The sequence below is a fragment of the Homo sapiens genome, chromosome 3 (genome assembly GCF_000001405.40).
Source record: "Homo sapiens chromosome 3, GRCh38.p14 Primary Assembly".
NCBI classification, from domain to species: domain Eukaryota; kingdom Metazoa; phylum Chordata; class Mammalia; order Primates; family Hominidae; genus Homo; species Homo sapiens.
The window spans coordinates 100,922,018-100,944,144 of record NC_000003.12 but is presented as its reverse complement, the minus strand read 5'-3'; the positions used below and the strand labels follow the sequence as shown (position 1 = coordinate 100,944,144).

General features: G+C 36.3%; 1 protein-coding gene across 57 annotated transcripts in view; it reads left to right on the top strand.

Annotated features, from left to right (window-relative positions):
- The window catches only part of ABI3BP (ABI family member 3 binding protein), a 244,266-nt gene that overhangs the window by 49,277 nt on the left and 172,862 nt on the right, over positions 1-22,127 (top strand). For all 57 annotated transcript variants that reach the window (XM_006713572.4, NM_001377332.1, XM_047447926.1 and 54 more), the window contains exon 2: positions 17,664-17,843. In XM_006713572.4, coding sequence (XP_006713635.1) covers positions 17,664-17,843 — 180 coding nt within the window. The remainder of the gene's footprint in view (positions 1-17,663; positions 17,844-22,127) is intronic.

Genomic DNA, 22,127 nt, shown 5'->3' with positions numbered 1-22,127 from the left:
GTCAAAAGAGGCTCATGCCTGGCATTCTCTCAGCTGGGAGTGAGAGGGAAAGGTGTCAGAGACCTTGAGTATCAGTGTCCAGTATTTAGCTTTTCAGTGAAGATGAAGTCATTATATGGTTTTATCTGCGCTTACTACTAAGAAGTTAGTTAAGTGTAGTAATTGTCTATTATAAATAGAAGAGTTGATAGTTTTGTTTCCCTGGTAAATAGCATTATAAGTAAATAATCTGGAAAATTAGAAATATACATATATAATTTCACTTTTTCTTGGAAAAAATTTTATCATCATATAATCAAACATTTTAAAAATAGTACAATCAAAAGAGGCTGATTATGAAGACAACTGGAAGATGTAAAAATGTTGGCTTTAATAACTATCTGAATACTACTGTGACAATAACAACAAAAAGCTACTGATGCATGCAACAAAACTGATATATCATCAAGACATTTTAAGTGCAAGAGACCTTACATGAAAGACTACATACTGTGTGATTTTATTTAATCGAAGAGTCTAGAACAGGCAAACTAATCTATGATAGTAAAATTAAGAACAATAGTCCCTGGGAGGATGTGGTGGGAATGAACTGGGAAGGGGCATGAGGAAATTTTCTGGGTTGATGATGATATTATAAATCTTGATAAAGGTTTGGGTTACACAGATGTATGGCATTTGGGGAAAACAGTAATGTATAGTTAAGATTTATGTATTTCATTGTACCTAAATTTTATCTCAAAAGAAAAATATAAATAAATATTAAACTTTAGTTAATGGCATGCATACTGAAGTGTTTGGGGGTGAAGAGTACTGAAATTCAGTTGACATGGAAATTAATTAAAAATTAAGATGGAATGAATGATGGACAGAGGGATGGAGAGACGGAAATGTACATGATAAATGAGTAAGACAGGAATCATTGACTTTTGGTTGCTGCCTTATGGATATGCTCTACACAATTCAAGTTTTTGTATGTTTAAAATTTTTTATAATAAAATTTGGAAAATAACTCATCTTTGATTTTAAATCTCTAAATATATTGGTTAGATTTAAAGACACATAACTGACATTCAGAAGTTAGTAGTATTCCAAACATAACATTTTACCTTATGTGTCTCCAGAAATAGTTCTCAGAAACCCTAATTAACAGAATTTGTTCACAGACCAAAATATGTGTAAAAGTCTCATGATAGGAAATTTAACAGTGAAGTTTCTTTTCTCCATACTGTGTTGAATATCTGTAAATGTCTTTCAAATGACATTGGGCCCATTAATTTTATTGTCGATGCACTGAATTTTAAAAGAGTAATGGCTCTCAAACTTGAGTATTCACCAGAATATCCATACAGCTTGTCGAAATACAGATTGCTGCCCCCAGAGTTTCTAATTCAATAGGTCTGGGATGGGGTCTCACAAGTTCCCAGATGATGTTGATTGTCTAATCTGGAGACCATACTTTCAGAGCCCTGGAATTGAGCCTAGCCCATCTTCCATCAAGAGCACTTAATACTACCACTTCTTACTTTAAAGGGCAACAGAATGTAAGCAAATCATCTCCATGAATTTTCATGAAAATAAGCAAAGAACAAAAAGAAGGGAAATGAGTCTTGTTAAATTCCTTAGCCTATCGGGTTACTTTTCTATGTATTAAAAAACAATAATGACTAAGAATCTACCATTTTTCCAAAGTGGTACAGAAAAAGTATTACAAAATAAATTTTGACACCTTGTATTTTTCTCCTTTCTTCCCTACCTGCTTTTGGTATATCTATCCTCATGGGATAAAAACTACTTTTGTGACTAATTAAACAAAACTAAAGGGACGTTTTCTATATATATTCTTTCTTCCACCCCTTTTATATCAGGTTCAGAATCCCTCAATTGTAGCGTTATTTTACTAATTCTGCTAATCATGCTGCACTGAAACAACTGACTTATTCATCTACCCAATGTACTAGAATGTCCAGTCTTTGCCATCAGACATATCATATTCAAATTTGTGTCACTAATGCCTACTACCCAGTAGTTAATGAAAGGAATAAAATAAAAAGCAGATAAGTAAAAATATATTTGTCCCAAGGTAAATATAAATTTTATTTAGTTTTTTTGGTCAGTTGAAGTTAACCATGTCACTGTCCCACTTCCTTTACAGCAAATACCTATATATGATCATTGATTGTGTGAGGTTGCCTCTCCCACCTTCCCCTTCCAAAAAAACCCCAGCGCACTTCAAACTTTAAAGAGTAATTTTAGCATAATCAGATTGAGGGAATGTGTGCAATTGACACCTGTGTATGTCTCAGAATGAGGTGTCTTCTTGAAAATGAGAGACTGTTGATTTAGAAAGTAGTCTTTGAAAAGCAGTTTTCCTACTTGGCTGTTGGTTGGGTTACAAAGTCAGTAATGTAGTTACTGCTCCTTTGGTAAAACTATTAGCCTTGCCAATTGGTGCTGAAATGTCCACATTGGCAGTTCAGTCTGTCTCATTCAGTCATCCAAATTCACCAGACGGTGAAGTATTGGCCTGAGGAATCAGAGCACTGGGAATTCTGACCAAGGTGGAAACTGGTGGTTTTAGCTGAATTGGAACTCATTTGTGCAAACAGCTGGGCAAACAGATATAAAGTGCCCCATTAGGAAGTGAAGATTTTCCCCCTTGGACTTTTTGTAAAGTGACATTTCTTTCTAAATTCGAAAGTAACCGTCTTCTGGGTATTTGGTGATGAAAATGTCCTAATAAAAAGCTCACTAATTGACTCCTAGGAATTATGGATCTATGGGTATTGCTTGGGTGTGGCTTTATGAAGGGAGTGCTCCAGGTGAACTGAGACTTTTAATTTCCTGAACTCTGAGAACACATGTTGCGTGTGGGAGCATGTCTTCCAGCTGGCAGACTTACAACAAGGCATCTTGGAGAGGGAACGTGCTGTTCTGCTTGCCCTGGAGCAGAGATCATGAAATGCTGTCATTTGAGCTTCTTGCTAACATATGTTCATGTATAAGTAAAGTTTTGATTTTTTTAAAAAGCCCCCATTCCTTGGCACTGAGGCAGCTATCTATGTGGCTTATGGGACTTTTACCATAGCTTTTATTCTGCACATTATTTTAAATGTAATTATTCTTTAGATTTATACAAATCTTGCTTTATTTAATAATTTTAATCAGAATTTTTTCTTGTATTTTCTGATTTGTGTTTATAGAACACAAATAGGGATGCCATCTGTCCACCTCTAAATCTGTGTGCTATTAATTTACAAAAGTCCAGAATTGCTTTTCCTCTATATTCTTATTTAAATTCCTGACTCATCATATCATATATATATATATATATATATATATATATATATATATATATATAGTGAAGTAATTTCCTTTGTAAATGAGGGATTACCATGTCCAAAGTGTTTGTAGCTGAGTTCCTATCTAGCCTGCACCAGGCATCCTACTGCTAGTATCCCTAGTTACCAGTAATAGCAGAATTAAGAGGCAGGGAAGATAAAAATGAAAGGCATGCAGTGAAAAGGGCAGGATGGGTGGGGTGGCTTGAGGCCTATGAGGAAAGGTCGGAATGGTAGGTTGGTTACCGTTATCAAATCTTTCATTTGTGTAAGTAGCAACTATTTTTGCATGGCCTTTGTGAATGTGGCTAATGTATATAGTCACAAATAAAAGATGGTTTGAATGGTGCCATAATAAAGATGACTGTTGCGGGAAGTCAGGGATCCCAAACGGAGGGACCGGCTGAAGTCATGGCAGAAGAACGTGGATTGTGAAGATTTCATGGACATTTATTTGTTCCCCAAATTAATACTTTTATAATTTCTTATGCCTGTCTTTACTGCAATCTCTAAACATAAATTGTGAAGATTTCGTGGACACTTATCACTTCCCCAATCAGTACCCTTGTGATTTCCTATGCCTGTCTTTATTTTTATCTCATAATCCTGTCAGCTGAGGAAGATGTATGTCGCCTCAGGACCATGTGATAATTGCATTAACTGTACAAATTGTAGAGCATGTGTGTTTGAACAAATATGAAATCTGGGCACCTTGAAAAAAGAACAGGATAACAGCAATTGTTCAGGGAATAAGAGAGATAACCTTAAACTCTGACCACCGGTGAGCCGGGCGGAACAGAGCCCTATTTCTCTTCTTTCAAAAGCAAATGGGAGAAATATTGCTGAATTCTTTTTCTCAGCAAGGAACATCCCTGGGAAAGAGAATATGCGCCTGGGGGTATAGGCCTATAGACGGCCCCCCTGGGTGTGGTCATCTCCTATGGTCTATAGACTCTAGGGGTGAAATAGACCCCAGTCTCCCACAGTGCTCCCAGGCTTATTAGGAAGAGGAAATTCGCACCTAATAAATTTTGGTCAGACCGGTTGCTCTCAAAACCCTGTCTCCTGATAAGATGTTATCAATGACAGTGGTGCCCAAAACTTCATTAGCAATTTTAATTTCTCCCCGGTCCTGTGGTTCTGTGATCTTGCCCTGCCTCCATTTGCCTTGTGATATTCTATTACCTTGTAAAGTACTTGATGTCTGTGACCCACACCTATTCGCACACTCCCTCCCCTTTTGAAAATCCCTAATAAAAACTTGCTGGTCTTTGTGGCTTGTGGGGGCATCACAGAACCTACCGACACGTGATGTCTTCCCCGGATGCCCAGCTTTAAAATTTCTCTCTTTTGTACTCTCTCCCTTTATTTTTCAAGCTGGCTGACGCTTAAGGAAAATAGGAAAGAACCTACATGACTATTGGGGCAGGTTCCTCGATAAATGATAAAATAGATAAAGATAAATAAAGATAAAATAGATAAAGATGATAAAAAGATGTTTGAATGAGTTTTTCACTGCATAACCTGAACAACTGTCAGCGACATCCCTCTTTCTGGAAGACATGTTTTAGAGCAGCTACATGTTCACTGCCCACTAATTCTCTGTAAGCACTCAGAAATTCCCTACTGGGACCTAGTAAAACTCCATTCCCAAAGAGTTGGGAAGACAGTGATGGAGAATCTGGGATTTTGAGAAAAGATTCCAGCCTGGAGGTCCAGAGAGCCAGGATAAAATGAGATATATGGAATTGGTAGTTGGAATATAAGAACTTTAAATTTAGAAAGGATTTGCCTAACAATTATTCTGTGATTCCAATTACAATTTGGCACACACACATGCATGCACAGGCACATGTGCATGCACACACACATGCCCCCCCAACAACGTCCACCACCACCAAAGCAATTTAATTCCTTTTACCTACTTTGTTCTTTCATGCCATCATACCACTGCAGGAGGGGCCATGACTTTGTTCATCTCTACAACCACCTTACACAGACTCTCCTTCTGATGGAAGGTCATGTAAGCGTCTTGCTGTTTCAGCACTGGTGAAAACACTTTTAATACTGTCTAATATTACTTAATTGATAACATCATTTAATTTTCATTCTCCTTAAAGTATTTAGCTGAAGCTGCCATGGTTTTTTGTTATGAAAATTTCCACTAGCATCACTGACTTTCAGCTTGTCTTTGATAAGAAAAAAGTCATTTTACGGACTAACACACAAGACTACACATTTCTATATAAGGATCAGGAACAACTGAAGATACTTGTATAATTGTCTCTGGCCACTGTCTTCACAGTGATTCTTCATTGTCACAGGGAAATTACTGAAACTCCATGGTTTTTTCCTTTTAATACCTTTCCTTGGATTCCTGGTGGCAGGACAGGGAGAGTCATTTGAACAGAAAGCCCATGCTATGTGATCCCTTTTCGACTCCCTAAGAATTAAAGAAAATGTTAAATTATTGCCAATCCCTATGTTTGCTTGTTTTTTTTTTTTTAACTTTTAGGTTCAGGGGTACATGTGCAGGTTTGTTATATAGGGAAACTCATGTCACAGGAGTTTGTTGTACAGATTAATTTGTCACCCAGCTACTAAGCCTAGTACCCAATGGTTATTTTTTCTGATCCTCTCCCTCCTCCCATCCTCCTTCTTCAAGTAGGCATCAGTGTGTGTTGTTCCCCTCTTTGTGTCCATATGTTCTCATCGTTTAGCCCCCACTTATAAGTGAGAACATGCAGTATTTGGTTTTCTGTTCTTGTGTTCGTTTACCAAGGATAATGGCCTCCAGCTCCATCTATGTTCCCACAAAGGACTTACTCTTGTTCTTTTTTAAGATTATAGTTTGTATATCTTAGTGTTAAAGTTTAATTTAATACAATCTATGTCATATACTATGATTTTTGGAAGCTTCTGACAGTGACTGCCCTGCTTAATACATAAACTTGAGACGTGACATCTTGACAGCTCCTTCATAAACTGATGTGACCATAAAGGCATTGGAACGTTTTCTACTTGTAACCTGCTGTCAAAGCAGAGCATAGACTACGTTGGAAACTTAGCATTGTCCGTTCTTAGAGCATAATAATTCCTGAAAAGGACTTGCTAACTTTATGTTTGTTGAGTGGTGAATAATAATATTAGACCCTATTAAAACTAATTCTGCAGGTGCTGTAAGATGCTTGAATGACCTTCCATCCGGAGAGTCTGTATAGGGTGGTTATGGAGATGAGGAAAGTCATAGCCCGTTCTACAGTAGCGTAACGGCATGCCAGACAAAAGATTCAACTATGTTGTGTATGTAGGTAATTTGTTCTGTTTTATTGCTGAGCTATATCTCATTATAGGGATGAGCTATAAATGTTTATCTGTTCAACTGTTGATGGACATTTGGGTTTGTTTCTAGTTTGGCACTGCTTTAAATATTTGCACACAAGTTTTTGCACAGACTTGTGTCTTCATTTCTCCTGAGTAAATACCTAGGAATGAAATTAATAGGTTATTAGCTAACTGGCAAGCATTTTCCCAAGTGGTTAGACCATTTAAAATTTACACTCAAAATGTATGAAGGTTCCAGATGTACTACATTTTTCCTAACACTTGGGATTAGCAGTCTTTAATTTCAGCCATTCTTATGTGTAATATTTCACTGTGGTTTTAATTTGCATTTCCCTAATGACTCATGATATTAACCAAAAGTTGGCAAACTATGACCTGCAGGCCAAATCCAGCCCACTGCCTATTTTTATAAATATTGCTCTATTGGCAAACAATTTCAAAAGATAGCAGAAGACAAGGAATAGTAAAATCAGAGCAGAAACGAAGGAGACAGAGACATGAAAAACCCTTCAAAATCTCAGTGAATCCAGGAGCTGGTTCTTTGAAAAGATCAACAAAATAGATAGACCACTAGCCAGACTAATAAAGATGAAAAGAGAGAAGAATCAAATAGATGCAATAAAAAATGGTAAAGGGGATATTACCACCAATCCCACAGAAATAAAAACTACCATCAGAGAATACTATAAACACCTCTATGCAAATAAACTAGTAAATCTAGAAGAAATGGGTAAATTTCTGGACACATAACCCTCCCAAGACTAAACCAGGAAGAAGCTGAATCCCTGAATAGACCAATAACAAGTTCGGAAATTGAGGCAGCAATTAATAGCCTAACAACCAAAAAAAAAGTCCAGGACCAGACAGATTCACAGCCGAATTCTACCAGAGGTACAAAGAGGAGCTGGTACCATTACTTCTGAAACTCTTCAAAACAATAAAAAAAGAGGGATTTCTCCCTAACTCATTTTATGAGGCCAGCATCATCCTGATACCAAAACCTGGCAGAGACACAACAAAAAAAGAAAATTTCAGGCCAATATCCTTGATGAACATTGATGCAAAAATCCTCAATAAAATACTGGCAAACCAAATCCAGCAGCACATCAAAAAGCTTATCCACCACGATCAAGTCGGCTTCATCCCTGGGATGCAAGGCTGGTTCAACATACGCAAATTAATAAATGTAATCCATCAAATAAACAGAACCAATGACAAAAACCACATGATTATCTCAACAGATGCAGAAAAGGCCTTCAACAAAATTCAAAGCCCTTCATGCTAAAAACTCTCAATAAACTAGGCATTGATGGAACATATCTCAAAATAATAAGAACTATTTATGACAAACCCACAGCCAATATCATACTGAATGGGCAAAAACTGGAAGCATTCCCTTTGAAAACTGGCACAAGACAAGGATGCCCTCTCTCCCACTCCTATTCAACATAGTGTTGGAAGTTCTGGCCAGGGCAATCAGGCAAGAGAAAGAAATAAAGGGTACTCAAGTACGAAAAGTGGAAGTCAAATTGTCTCTGTTTGCAGATGACATGATTGTATATTTAGAAAACCCCATCATCTCAGCCCAAAATCTCCTTAAGCTGATAAGCAACTTCAGCAAAGTCTCAGGATACAAAATCAATGTGCAAAAATCACAACCTTCCTATACACAAAAAACAGACAAACAGAGAGCCAAATCATGAGTGAACTCCCATTCACAATTGCTACAAAGAGAATAAAATACCTAGGAATCCAACTTACAAGGGATGCAAAGGGCCTCTTGAAGGAGAACTACAAACCACTGCTCAAGGAAGTAAGAGAGGACACAAACAAATGGAAAAACATTCCGTGCTCATGGATAGGAAGAATCAATATCGTGAAAATGGCCATACTGCCCAAAGTAATTTATAGATTTAATCCTATCCTGATCAAATTACCATTGACTTTCTTCACAGAATTGGAAAAAACTACTTTCAATTTCATATGGAATAAAAAAAGAGCCTGCATAGCCAAGACAATCTTAAGCAGAAAGAACAAAGCTGGAGGCATCACACTACCTGACTTCAAACTATACTAAAATGCTACAGTAACAAAAACATCATGGTACTTGTACCAAAACAGATATATAGACCAGTGGAACAGAACAGAGGCCTCAGAAATAACACCACATATCTACAACCATCTGATCTTTGACAAACCTGACAAAAACAAGAAATAGGGAAAGGATTCCCAATTTAATAAATGGTATTGGGAAAACTGGCTAGCCATATGCCAAAAGCAGAAACTGGATCCGTTCCTTACACCTTATACAAAAATTAACTCAAGATGGATTAAAGACTTAAACATAAGATCTAAAATCATAAAAACCCTAGAAGAAAACCTAGGCAATACGATTCAGGAAATTGGCATGGCCAAAGACTTCATGACTAAAACACCAAAAGCAATGGCAACAAAAGCCAGAATAGAGAAATCGGATCTGATTAAACTAAAGAGCTTCTGCACAGCAAAAGAAACTATCATCAGAGTGAACAGGCAACCTACAGAATGGGAGAAAATTTTTGCAATCTACCCATCTGACAAAGGGTTAATATCCAGAATCTACAAAGAACTTAAACAAATTTACAAGAAAACAACCCCATCAAAAAGTGGGTGAAGGATATGAACAGACACTTCTCAAAAGAAGACATTTATGCAGCCAACAAACATATGAAAAAAAAGCTCATCATCACTGGTTATTAGAGAAATGCAAATCAAAACCACAATGAGATACCATCTCATGCCAGTTAGAATGGTGATCATTAAAAAGTCAGGAAACAACAGATGCTGGAGAGGATGTGGAGAAATAGGAACACTTTTACACTGTTGGTGGGAGTGTAAATCAGTCCAACCATTGTGGAAGACAGTGTGGTGATTCCTCAAGGATCTAGAACTAGAAATACCATTTGACCCAGCAATCCCATTACTGGGTATATACCCAAAGGATTATAAATCATTCTACTATAAAGACACATACACACATATGTTTATTGTGGCACTGTTCACAATAGCAAAGACTTGGAACCAACCCAAATGCCCATCAGTGATAGACTGGATAAGGAAAATGTGGCACATATATACCATGGAATACTATGCAGCCATAAAAAAGGATGAGTTCATGTCCTTTGTAGGGACATGGATGATGCTGGAAACCATCATTCTCAACGAACTAATGCAAGAACAGAAAACCAGACACTGCATTTTCTCAATCATAAGTGGGAGTTGGACAATGAGAACACAAGCACACAAGGAGGGGAACATCACACACCAGGGCCTTTTTGGGGGTGGGGGGTTAGGGGAGGGGTAGCATTAGGAGAAATACCTAATGTAGATGATGGCTTGATAGGTGCAGCAAACCACCATGGCACGTGTATACTTATGTAACAAACATGCACGTTCTGCACATGTACCCCAGAACTTAGAGTATAATTAAAAAATTATTATTGGATTAAAACAAAGAAAATCACTCTATTGGAACTTAGCCATGTCCATTTGTTTATATGATGTCTATAGCTGCTTATGTGCTATGATGGCAGAGTTGAATGGTTGTGGTACAGAACATCTGTCCTGACAAACCTAAAATATTTACTATCTGACCCGTTACAGACAATATCTCCCAAACCCAGATGTTGGGCATTTTTTCATGTGCTTCTTGGCTATCCTATGTCTCCTTTAATGAGGAATCTATTTAAATTTTTGTTATTTTTTTCATGTTTTTTCTTTCTTTTTATTGAATAGAAAGAATTATTTTCTTTACATAAATACAAGTCCTTCAATAGATATATATATATATTGCAAATATTGTCTCCCAATGGGTAGCTTGCCTTTTTTTTTTCTTGTTAGTTCTTTTAAAATTCAAAACTTTAAAAATTTGACCTAGTCCAATTTATCAGTTTTTAAAATCTGTGCTTCATATGCCATATCTCAACTGACAGGAATTGACTTTATTATTTTGATATCTTAGAAAATTTGATTTTGTATAATGAAATAAGTAGCTGAGTAGGTATAGAGGTTGGCACTGTAAGTGAAAATTGTGCAATAAAAGAAGAACACACTATGGATAAGAATAGGGTTATGTGTTTAATCCTGAAATGATGTTATTATTTTATTGACATCAGTATTATAGCTATTCTTTTACTTAGTATCTTATGGCAATTAATACGGTACCTGATCTGTTTTAAGTCTATATGTGCTATTTAGAATAATCTTAATTTCTTTGTTAGTGTCTGCCACATTGAAAACATAAAATAATAATTGTTGCTACACTAATAAGTATTATCTACTTTTAGAAGAGTGCTTTAATATTTTGCAGCTTTTCTCTTGAAGTAATTTTATTATGTTGACCAACTTGAGATCAACAATTTAAACCACATTCTGAAATATTCTGGAGAATGTAAGATAACCTTATGAAAGATTAGATATGAAAGAATTCCTCCTACTAAATGGATTATAATGATGATTCCTTTCTCTCCCATAAGTGACTGGATGTCCATGATAGTTTAGCTTGTCTCACTGAGTACCATGTGTTAGGGTTATGTGTCTTTTTGGTAAAATGATTTTTATTCCTTTGGGTATATACCCAGTAATGGGATTGCTGGGTTGAATGACAGTTCTGTTTTAAGTTCTTTGAAAAATCTCCAAACTGCCTTCCACAATGGCTGAACTAATTTACATTCCCACTAGCAGTGTGTAAACATTCCCTTTTCTCCACAACCTCGCCAGCATCTGTTATCTTCTGACTTTTTAATAATAGCCATTCTGATGGTGTGAGATGATGTCTCGTTGTGGTTTTGATGTGCATTTCTGTAACGATTAGTGATGTTGGGAACTTTTTCATGTGCTTGTTGGCCACACGTATGTCTTCTTTTGAGAAGTGTCTGTTCCTATGATTTGCCTATTTTTTAAAATGGGGTTATTTGGTTTTTCTGCTTGTTGATTTGTTCAAGTTTCTTATAGATTCTGGATATTAGACCTTTGTCAGATGAGTAGTTTGCAAATATTTTCTCCCTTTCTATAGGCTGTCTGTTTGCTCTGTTGATAGTTTTGTTTGCTGTGCAGAAGCTCCTTAGTTTAATTAAGTCCCACTTCTCCATTTTTGTTTTTGTTTGGGAGACTTTGTCATGAAATCTTTGCGAAGGCCTATGTCCAGAATGATACGCCCTAGATTTTCCTCTGAGGTTTTTATAGTTTTAGGTTTTACATTTGTCTTTAATCCATGTTGAGTTGATTTTTATATATGGTGAAAGGAAGGGATCCAGCTTCAATCTTCTGCATATGGCTAACCATTATCCCACTCCATTTACTGAATAGGGAGTCCTTTCCCTATTGCTTGTTTTTTTTCGGCTTTGTTGAAAATCAGATTGTTGTAGGTGTGTGTCCTTATTTCTGGGCTTTCTAACCTGTTACATTGGCCTATGTGTCTGTTTTTGTACTAGTACCATGCCGTTTTGGTTACTGTGGTCCTGTAGTATAGTTTGAAGGCAGGTAGTTTGATGCCTCTAGCTTTGTTCTTTTTGTTTAGAATTGCTTTGGCTACTTGGGCTGTTTTGTGGTTCCATATGAATTTTAGAATAGTTTTTTCTAGTTCTGTGAAAAAAATGTCATTCGTAGTTGATAGAAAGAACATTGAATCTGTACATTGCTGTGGGCAGTATGGCCATTTTACCAATATTGATTCTTCCTATTCATGAGCATGAGATGTTTTCCATTTTTTGTATCATCTTTGATTTCTTTCAGCAGTGTTTCGTAATTCTTGTTGTAGAGATCTTTTACCTCCATGGTTAGCTGTATTCCTAAGTAGTTTTTTTTTGTGTGTGTGGCTATTGTGAATGGTATTGTATTCTTGATTTGGCCCTTCGTTTGGACATTATTGATGTATAGAAATGCTACTAATTTTTGTCCATTGATTTTGTATCCTGAAACTTGCTGAAGTTGTTTATCATTTCTAGTAGCCTTTTGGCAGAGACTACAGGATTTTCTAGGTACAGAATTATATTATCTGCAGAGAAACAGTTTGACTTCCTCTCTTCCTATTTGTATGTCTTTTATTTCTTTCTCTTGCTTTCTCTTTCCTGATTGCTCTAGCTAAGACTTCCAGTACTATGTTGAATAGGAATGGTGAGAGTGGGCATCCCTGTCTTGTGCCAGTTCTCAGAGAAAATGCTTCCAGCTTTTGAATGTTCAGCATGATGTTGGCTGGCTGTGGGTTTGTCATAGATGGCTCTTATTATTTTGAGCTATGGTCCTTCGATGCCTAGTTTGTTGAGGATTTTTAACATGGAAGGATGTTGAATTTTATCAAAAGTCTTTTGTGCATTTATTGAGATGATCGTGCAGTTTTTGTTTTTAGTTCTGTTTATGTGATGAATCACATTTATTAATTTGCATATGTTAAGCCAACCTTACAACTCAGAAATAAAGCCTACTTGATCATGGCAAATTAGCTTTTTCATGTGCAACTGGATTGATTTGCTAGTATTTTGTTGAGGATTTCTGCATCTATGTTCATCAGGGATATTGGCCTGAAGTTTTCTTTTTTCATTGTGTTTCTGCCAGGTTTTGGTATTAGAATGATACTGGCCTCATAGAATGAGTTATGGAGGAGTCCCTCCTCCTCAATTTTTTGGGGAATAATTTCAGTAGGATTGGTACCAGTTCATCTTTATAGGTGGAATTTGGCTGTGAATCTCTCTGGCTCAGGGCCTTTTCAGGTTGGTAGGCTTTTTGTTACTGATTCAATTTTATAACTCATTAATCTATTCAGGATTTCAGTTTCTTCCTGGTTCAATCTTGGGAGGTTGTATGGTTCCAGTAATTTATCCATTTCTTCTAGGTTTTCTAGTTTGTGTGCATAGAGGTATTTGTAATAGTCTCTGAGGGTTTTTTGGATTTCTGTGGGATCAGTGGTAGTGTCACCTTTGTCATTTCTGAGAAAGACTTTTTTTAAAAGAATTTCTTAACACTCTTTGAAATATTAACAGATGCACTAAGGTGTTGCAAACAAAGGATTAGAAACCACCATCGTAGATCCAAGATTCTACTTTGCAAATATGCAATTTTTTGTCTAAGGCCTACTAGTGTTACTTTCCCAAAATGTTTACCTTCTGTTTTTATTTTTTCTCACTCCTGTTGACATATGCTTTGTTCCTCATATACGGTGCAATAAAACGTTCTTCCAGTAGTCTTATTTTTCTGAATTCCTGGGCTCTTCTGGTGACATATATACCATTTTTACTTATAGATGTTGTACTAGTTAAGCTTGTATCATGTGGTATTATTTTCTATGATCCCTACCTTAAGGCACTCACCAGAGGTCTTTATACTAACTGTTGAAAGATGCCATTTTATGACTAGTATTCCAAACTACTAAACCAGAATTACACTGAAAATAAATGTATTATCAAAGATTAAACATTAGTGTAGAATGTACATAGGCATACCTCAAATTATTGGAGAAATTGTCCAAGAGTGTAAAATGTCATTTAATACACATCTAAACATTCGTTCAAAGGAACACTTGAACTTATTTATATTGAAGGAAAAAAAAACTTGCTTAACCTTTTTGCTGACACTGAAAGAGTCAATTTGGTAATAACTGAGTAAGTCAAGGCATGTAGGGAAGGCAAACCAAAGATAGAGGGAATCCATACTGGGTGGACAACCTGAGCAAAGGTGTAGGGCCAAAGCCTCATATGCATTGCAGAATGTGAGAGGATTGTAAGGGTCAAAAACAAATGAGAAATGTTGAAAAGTAATAAGAGAAGAAGTAATGTGTGGTAAGATAATGAAGACATTTGAGTTACTGGCTCTAAAAAAAGAACTCAGGTAATGGTCTTAAAATTAAGTTTGTGATGCTGTGTTGAGATGAGATTTGTCTGTATGTATTTTTCTCTTTCAGAACATTTTAAATTTAGCTCGAGAGAGTAGTATGAACTGGAATTTTAGAAAAAGTAGAACAGCTAAATGCCAATTCATTTGAATAGTTATATGATGTTGATGTATTTGTGGATATACATTGTTAGCAAAAGGGAGAGAGACTGGAGTCATGAAAAGTCCTGTGCACAGGAGGTGGATTACTTCCACTTTGTTTGGAAAAATGGAACAGCCTTCCTTGTTCTCATCTGATGTAGCCATCTTTTCCACTTTCCCATGGGAGAAATAATGTGATTCATCAGGCCAGAGTCCATGAGCAAAAGTCTAACGTGATGATGATGCTGTGACTGTTGGCTCTTTGTCAAATATGAATGCAGCCTACGTGTACTAAGATTTGTTAAATGCTCCCTCCCAACTAAGTGTTGGAAATAAGCTGGTTGAGTTTAGATTCGTTGTGAGACTTGATAGCCTTCTAAGGTAGCAGAATATGTGTTCGATTTTACATTGGTTCCATTCTATTGAGCAGGGTGAAGTAACTAGAGTTAATCTAGGCACATTATTAAAAAGGGAAAAAATTGACAAAATCTGTGTTTTATCTGAAGTATAAATCATCTTATCAAAACCTGGCAAAGTTCACACAAAACACTAGCAGTTGGCACCCCAACTTGAGCATTATGATCTGTGGTGTGGCCACTCCTTACTCTTTTGGATAGTTACAAAGTTCTCAGTGAAAAGAGAGCAGTGCAGTCCAGCCTAGAGAGAGCCCAAGATCTAGTTTTGACCCACTTTTAACGTGCTGGGCGCCTCAATTTCCTCATTTGGAGGAATTATACTAGCTGATTTGTAAGGTCCCTTTTCAGATTTTGGATAAGCCACTCATATCCCTGGCTTTTTATTTTGCCACAGTATAACAATAGCAGTCTGAGATTCAAGAAGTTTATAAAAATGTCATCAAGTTCTTGGAAAGTAAAAACTACTATGCACATACATGGAAACTATAGCCTTAGCTGCTGAGGTATGAATAATCCCCACAACTTGGTATCCAAGAAAGGGTTATTTTTCTTTTTCCAAAGGCCTAATTGAACATTTTCTGTGGTTCTATTGAGGCTGTGCAGGCTGATTTTGGGTGGCGTAGAATAAATTCATTGTGATGATGTTGGGGAGCACATGCTGCACAAAAGTGGTGATTGGTATTTGTACAATCTAAGTCTTTGATTAATGAGAAATAGAATGTGAATTATTAAGTCAGTAAATGCAGTCTTTTCAATAGTCAAAATATTTTTTAAATATTAAATCTCTGGGGAATAAAGAAAAAACATAATCCAGGTTCAGAATCCTTTATCTAAAACCCCTGGGGCCAGACATGTTTTGGAATTCAGAAATTTGGAGAGGAGGGTTAGAAAAGAACTAGGATGCCAAGATTATATATTACATAACTTCCTCAATGGGGTCTTGATCAACACCATCTAACTGAACACATTTCTTCAATGAAACACATGAATAGTCACCCTAGTGGATTAAAGAAAGATTGAATGGCCTCAGGATGGTTCTGACTGGGATGTGTTGCCAGATGAGTCTGAGATAAACTTACAAAAAAAAAAAAAAAGACACAAAAAAACTACAAAGTTTTTTGATTTCTGAATCATGGCTAAAGAACTGTGGACCTGTATTAGTAAGCACTTGTTGAGCAATTACTATGGGCCAGGTTTAAGGTTGTGCCATTTACATTAACTGATTGATATGATTTGGCTCTATGTCCCCATTCAAATCTCATGTTGAATTGTAATCCCCAATGTTAGAGGTAAGGCCTGGTGGGAGGTGATTGGATCACAAGGGTGGTTTCTAATGGTTTAGCAACCTCCCCCTAGTGATAGAGTTTGCACAAGATCTGGTTGTTTAAAGGTATGTGGCACCTTCCTCTTTCTCTTCCTCCTACTCTGGCCATGTAAGACTTGCCTGCTTTGCTTTCACCTTCTGCCATGAAAGTTCCCTGCATTTCCCCAGCCATGCTTCCTGTACAGCCTTAGGAACCATGAGCCAATTAAACCTCTTTTCTTTATAAATTACGCAGTTTCAGATATCTCTTTATAGCAGTGCCACAACAGACTAATACACTAACCTTTGTAAATAACTCAGCAAGAAGGTAAATGTTATATATCACTTAGAAACCAGGAAGATAAGGCTCGAGTATCTTCAGTGGGATGCCAGAGTCACAGAAGTGGGGTTTGAACCTGGTTCCTTCTGGCTCCAAAGGCAAAAGACAATGTGTTTCCTCACCATTTGGTCAAGACCTTTAGTTAGTGTGATTATTTGCCTCTGTTGCCTTAGTAGTTTAAAAATAAATGTCTTGAGAATTTGATTAAGGTCTCTCTTCTCATTCTTGGCATCTCTCTGGGAAAGTTCATCCAATTATCACTTATAAGCTAATGACACCCAGATGGGTCTCGACCCCCATCCTGAGTATCACACTTAGAAATCCCACTCACTACTGGGCATCTCCATGTATTTCCAGATGTACTCCCAGATGTACTCCCAATGGAACTAATCATTTTCCTCCTCAACCGTTCTCTGCCTTCCAGCATTCCCTATTCTACCATGTCAGTTATCCCTAAGACAAAAATCTTTTTTCTTCCCTCTGTTTCCAACTCTGTCAATGACTAAGACCTGTGGATGTGGCACTGGAAAGCCTCATAAAGGAGGCTGGGCGTTTTTGAGCTGTAGTAATTCAATTTTACCAATAAAAAAATTCAGGTCCTTTCACCATACCCAGACAGTGTGTATAAAGCAAAGGTTCTGGCCAACTTTGAAGAGCCAAAATAAACCAAATTGCATCTACCTGCCCAATAATAAACTACTAAGTATTGAACAGTAAGATATACTTTTTATTCTAGGCTGCTCTATGTTATTTAGCTTCATTTTGGGCGTTTGGGTGTGTGCTGTAATACTGAGTAGCAAAGTAGACAACATGTTTTTCAAGAACAATGCCTCTAGCCACCAACACTTGCTGGGAAGTTGGGTAGGATGCTAAAAAGGGGAAGTAACAGCCATCGATGTTTTCATTCCCATTGTTAGGTAAAAGGCCAAACCTCAAAGTCCACATCAATACCACAAGTGACTCCATCCTCTTGAAGTTCTTGCGTCCAAGTCCAAATGTAAAGCTTGAAGGTCTTCTCCTGGGATATGGCAGCAATGTATCACCAAACCAGTACTTCCCTCTTCCCGCTGAAGGGAAATTCACAGAAGCTATAGTTGGTAAGGTGTTTGGGTATCGGGCTGGGAAGGAAAGGAGGTAAGAGGTGGGGGGGTGTAACATGACCTACAAATCTTGATGTCAAGAACTATTTTTTCTACATCCTTAGCTTAATCAAATGGTAGAATTACAAGACATCTTCATAATTGTTGTAACTCATAGCATAATTCTTTACATTAAAAAAATTATTACATGCAGAAATAGTTATCTTCATTCTCCCTGGCTATATAACTCAAGAATTCATAAGGACAAAAACAGCTGAAATGTCTGGGATTAAGTCTCTGTAACATATTTTATGTGGACTAGTTTTCCTTAGTGCTGTACCTTACTATCTTTTGATAGTACAACTACAGCATTTTGAGTGTATTTTCATGAAAAGCTACATTTTAAAAAAAAGTATTATATTTTTAAAAATTTAGAGTATTTCAGAGAAAAAAGATTAAAGTTTTTCTATGTATTATAAAATTTTATATTGCTTTAAAAATGTTTTAAATTATGTTAAAATGTAAATTGAGGATGTGGGTCACTTTTGAGCCTTCTCCAGAAAAATTATTTGCAAATAAAACCATTTAAGAATAATTTTTTTTTTAAGCCTGGCACAGTGTCTCACATCTGTAATCACAGCACTTTGGGAGGCTGAGGTGGGCAGATCACTCGAGCCAAGGAGTTCTAGACAGCCTGGGCAACATGACGAAATCCCCTCTCTACAAAAAATACAAAAATTTACCAGGCACGGTAGCTCACGCCTTGTAGTCCCAGCTACTTGTGAGGCTAAAGTGGGAGGATCTCTTGAGCATGGGGAGGCTGAGGCTGCAGTGAGCCGTGATAACATCACTGCACTCCAGCCTGCACAACAGAGTGAGACTCTGTCAAATAAATAAATAAATATATAAATATTTAAAGGATCCTCTATTGTTGTGAATACTTTTAAAGGCTTTCTGGATAGTCTAATAAGAGGTTTATATTTTGTTCCACTGCTAGGATTATTGCTTAGGAGCTTTCCTATAAGTTTCAGAGGTGTTATCCTATGAATTCAATTACTTTATATCAGCTCTGATAATATGCAGGGAATGTTGAAGATGAATCTATTTTGTCCTGTAGCCTCTTGTTTCTCATACAGACGTCTCTGTTGGACTTCAAAATCTGGCAACAGAGTAATATTGTTAATTAAGCATCTAAACTAGATTTTACATAAGACAAACACTTTAAAGCAAACCTACTAGTTTGTTACCAAAAAACTGAGAGGTAAGCATTTCTGACAAATGTAATAACACTAACCTTGACCACAAAAACCATAAAGAAGTCTCCACTCTATTCAATTTTTAGTATAAAAAGTGACCGGAAGCCGTGTGTTTGCCCCCACACAAATAGAAACAGATGACATATTACCCCTTTTTTCATTGAGCATTAGGAGTAATATTTTATTATGATAGTTTTTTTGTTATATAAATTGAAATTTGGGTCAATTGTAAGCTCTTTTTCCATATAAGGTGAAAAGTGTTCAATCTTAAAGTAATAGAAGTCAAATTATTACTGATAAAAAATATGTTCAGAAAACTGAAGAGAATTTGTTGCACAAATATTTTAACCTTTCACTGTTTCAATGATGAAAATTGATTAAATGGACTAGGGACACTTTTATTTATTTATATTATGTTCATTCTTTAAAGTTTTTTATTACAGGAAATTTCAGACAACCAAGGAAAGAGTATTAAAATGAACCTTCATATCTCAGCATGCAGCTTGAATATATATCACTGTTTTGCTAATCTTGTTTTGTGTATTCTTTCATACATACTGTATTCATTGCTGGGTATTTAAAGCATAACCAGGTATCACATTTCTTTATCTAAAAATGTTTCAGTATGCATCTCTAACAGATAAAAAATATTTTTAATAACACTGTGCTTTTATCACATAACAATAATTCTATAATACCATTTTATACCTAGAACATATTTAAATTTCTCTAGTGATCTTAAAAATGTCTTTTCAGGGTTGGTTTGTGTGAATCAGGATCCAAACAGGTCTATATGATATATTGGATTATGCCTCTTAAGTATCTTTTATTCTGTAACAATCCTCTCTACCTTCTCTTTTTAAATGTCATTGATTTCTAGAGAAATTGGGTCATTTATCACAGAGAATGTCCGTATTCTATATTATAGAATATGGAACTGGTTGCTTCCATTCTGTATTTTCTGAGCTGGCTCCTCCTATCCCCTGTATTTCCTACGAAGATGTAATTAGATCTAGAGGCTGTATTAGATTTGAATTTGCGGGAAGGGGGAATGTAGTACTTTACAGGTGGTACTATGTATTTCCTAATGACTCACAAAAAGAGGTGCATAATGGCTGCCTGTCCCATTTAGTGATCCTAAGACTGATGTGTTTAGGTGGTCTCAGCCTGGTCTCTCACAATAAAATTCTCCATCAAATTTTCACCTAATGGTTTTAGCATCTTTTGATAATAATTGCCCAGATCTATTATTTTATTCAGGAGTTATAAACAGCAATTTTCTCATTCTATTATTCTTTCTCCCTATTTTAGCCAATGATAAAGAATAAATTTCTCTCATCTGCTTTTTAATTTTCCATATATATTGGTTTTATTAGGTTGGTACAAAAGTTATTGCAGTTTTTGCCGTTACTTTCAATAAGAAAGGCAGGGTAAATTTTCATTGTTATGAGTTGATGCTCTGATTATTTCCAAAGATGACTAGTGACAGTGTTTGTTGGTTGGGTTTTAGGGCCAATAAGAATGCATTGATTTTTATATATTTAATGGGTTTTTATCAATATATCACTTATGTATGCCTTATGATTCTTTCAGTCTAGCTTAAATATGCTCGATTATTTACTTTGGTTAACTATAATACTGAAAACTTCTTAAAGTCAAGCTATGCCTTATTCTTTGGTTATTCATATCAAAATAATTTACATTAGGTAGATAGGCACTAAATATTTGTGCCACAGAATTGAATAGACTTCACTCTGTGTAGAATATTTAGGCTGGAAGAGGATGTGAGAGATTGTTTAATCTAAGTCCTGTCATCAGGAAAGTAGCTATTGAAGTCATTTAGGGCAGATAAAATAGGTCACTGTGCATCTCAAAGAACCTAGGGATAAAGATTCCACAACTCCAAGAAGGCTATTCCAATTATTTTTAAAACTCTTACCTCATATTGTAGATCAATATGTTCTTTTTATTAATTCCTTTTCTCTTCTAGTATTCTAGTGGAAATGAAAAAACATTCCTCGTACATATTTCCTTTTCCGTATTTCTTTAAGCCAAGAGATTTGTGTGCTTCTGCTTTTATTACTTCAAAAATGAACTTTTGTTCCAAGTTAAATGTTATTTTTTGGTTGTTTAAATTGGTTATTTATAGTCTTCCGTGACTTATTTGCATTAATTGCTCCTAATTGATTAAGCAGCCATACATTAATTTCCTGCAGCTGCTAAAACAAATTACTACAAATTTGGTGGCTTCAAACATTACAGATTTATTATCTTGCAGTTGTAGGTCAGAAATCCAACATGGGTCTCACTGAGCTAAAATCAAGGTGTGGGCAGGGCTGCATTCCTTTCTGGAGGCTCTGAGGGGAGAATCTGGTTTTATGTCTTTTCCAGCTTTTAGAGGCTACTGCATTTCTCTTCCACTCAAGGTCAACAACAGTGGGTCAAGCCCTTATCACATCACGTCACGTCACATCACCATCACCATCACCATCGCCATCGCCATCGCCATCACCATCACCATCACCATCACCATCACCATCGCATCACATCACCCTGGCCCCCTTTCTTGCTTTCCTCTTCTACTTTTAAGGGCCCTTGTGATTGTAGTAAGCTCATCTGGATAATCCAGGATACTTTCCCTATTTTAAAATCAGCTGATTAGCAATTGTAATTCCACCTTCAACCTCAATTCTCCTTTGTCACGCAACCTCACATCTTCACAGGTTCTGGGGATTAGGATGTAAGCAAGCTTTGTTGGGGGCATTATCCTCTCTGCCACAAGCTGTATGTTTAAAATTTGCATCTCTATTCAATCCCCTTTCTGATATCAGTTTACTGGATGTATTTTTCACAGATATGCTGTGGTGGTTTAGTGTATTTGTAACTATAAAGTGATGAATTAAAGTCCCTTGAGTACAAAGTGCTATACAAGAGCAAAGAATTTTTATTTCTTCATGGAAAAAAAGCATCACTTACAGCTCCTGCTCTTACTTTCTTTTGTAATAAGGTAGTGGTATGTTTTTCAGTTGCATGGAACTATACCCAA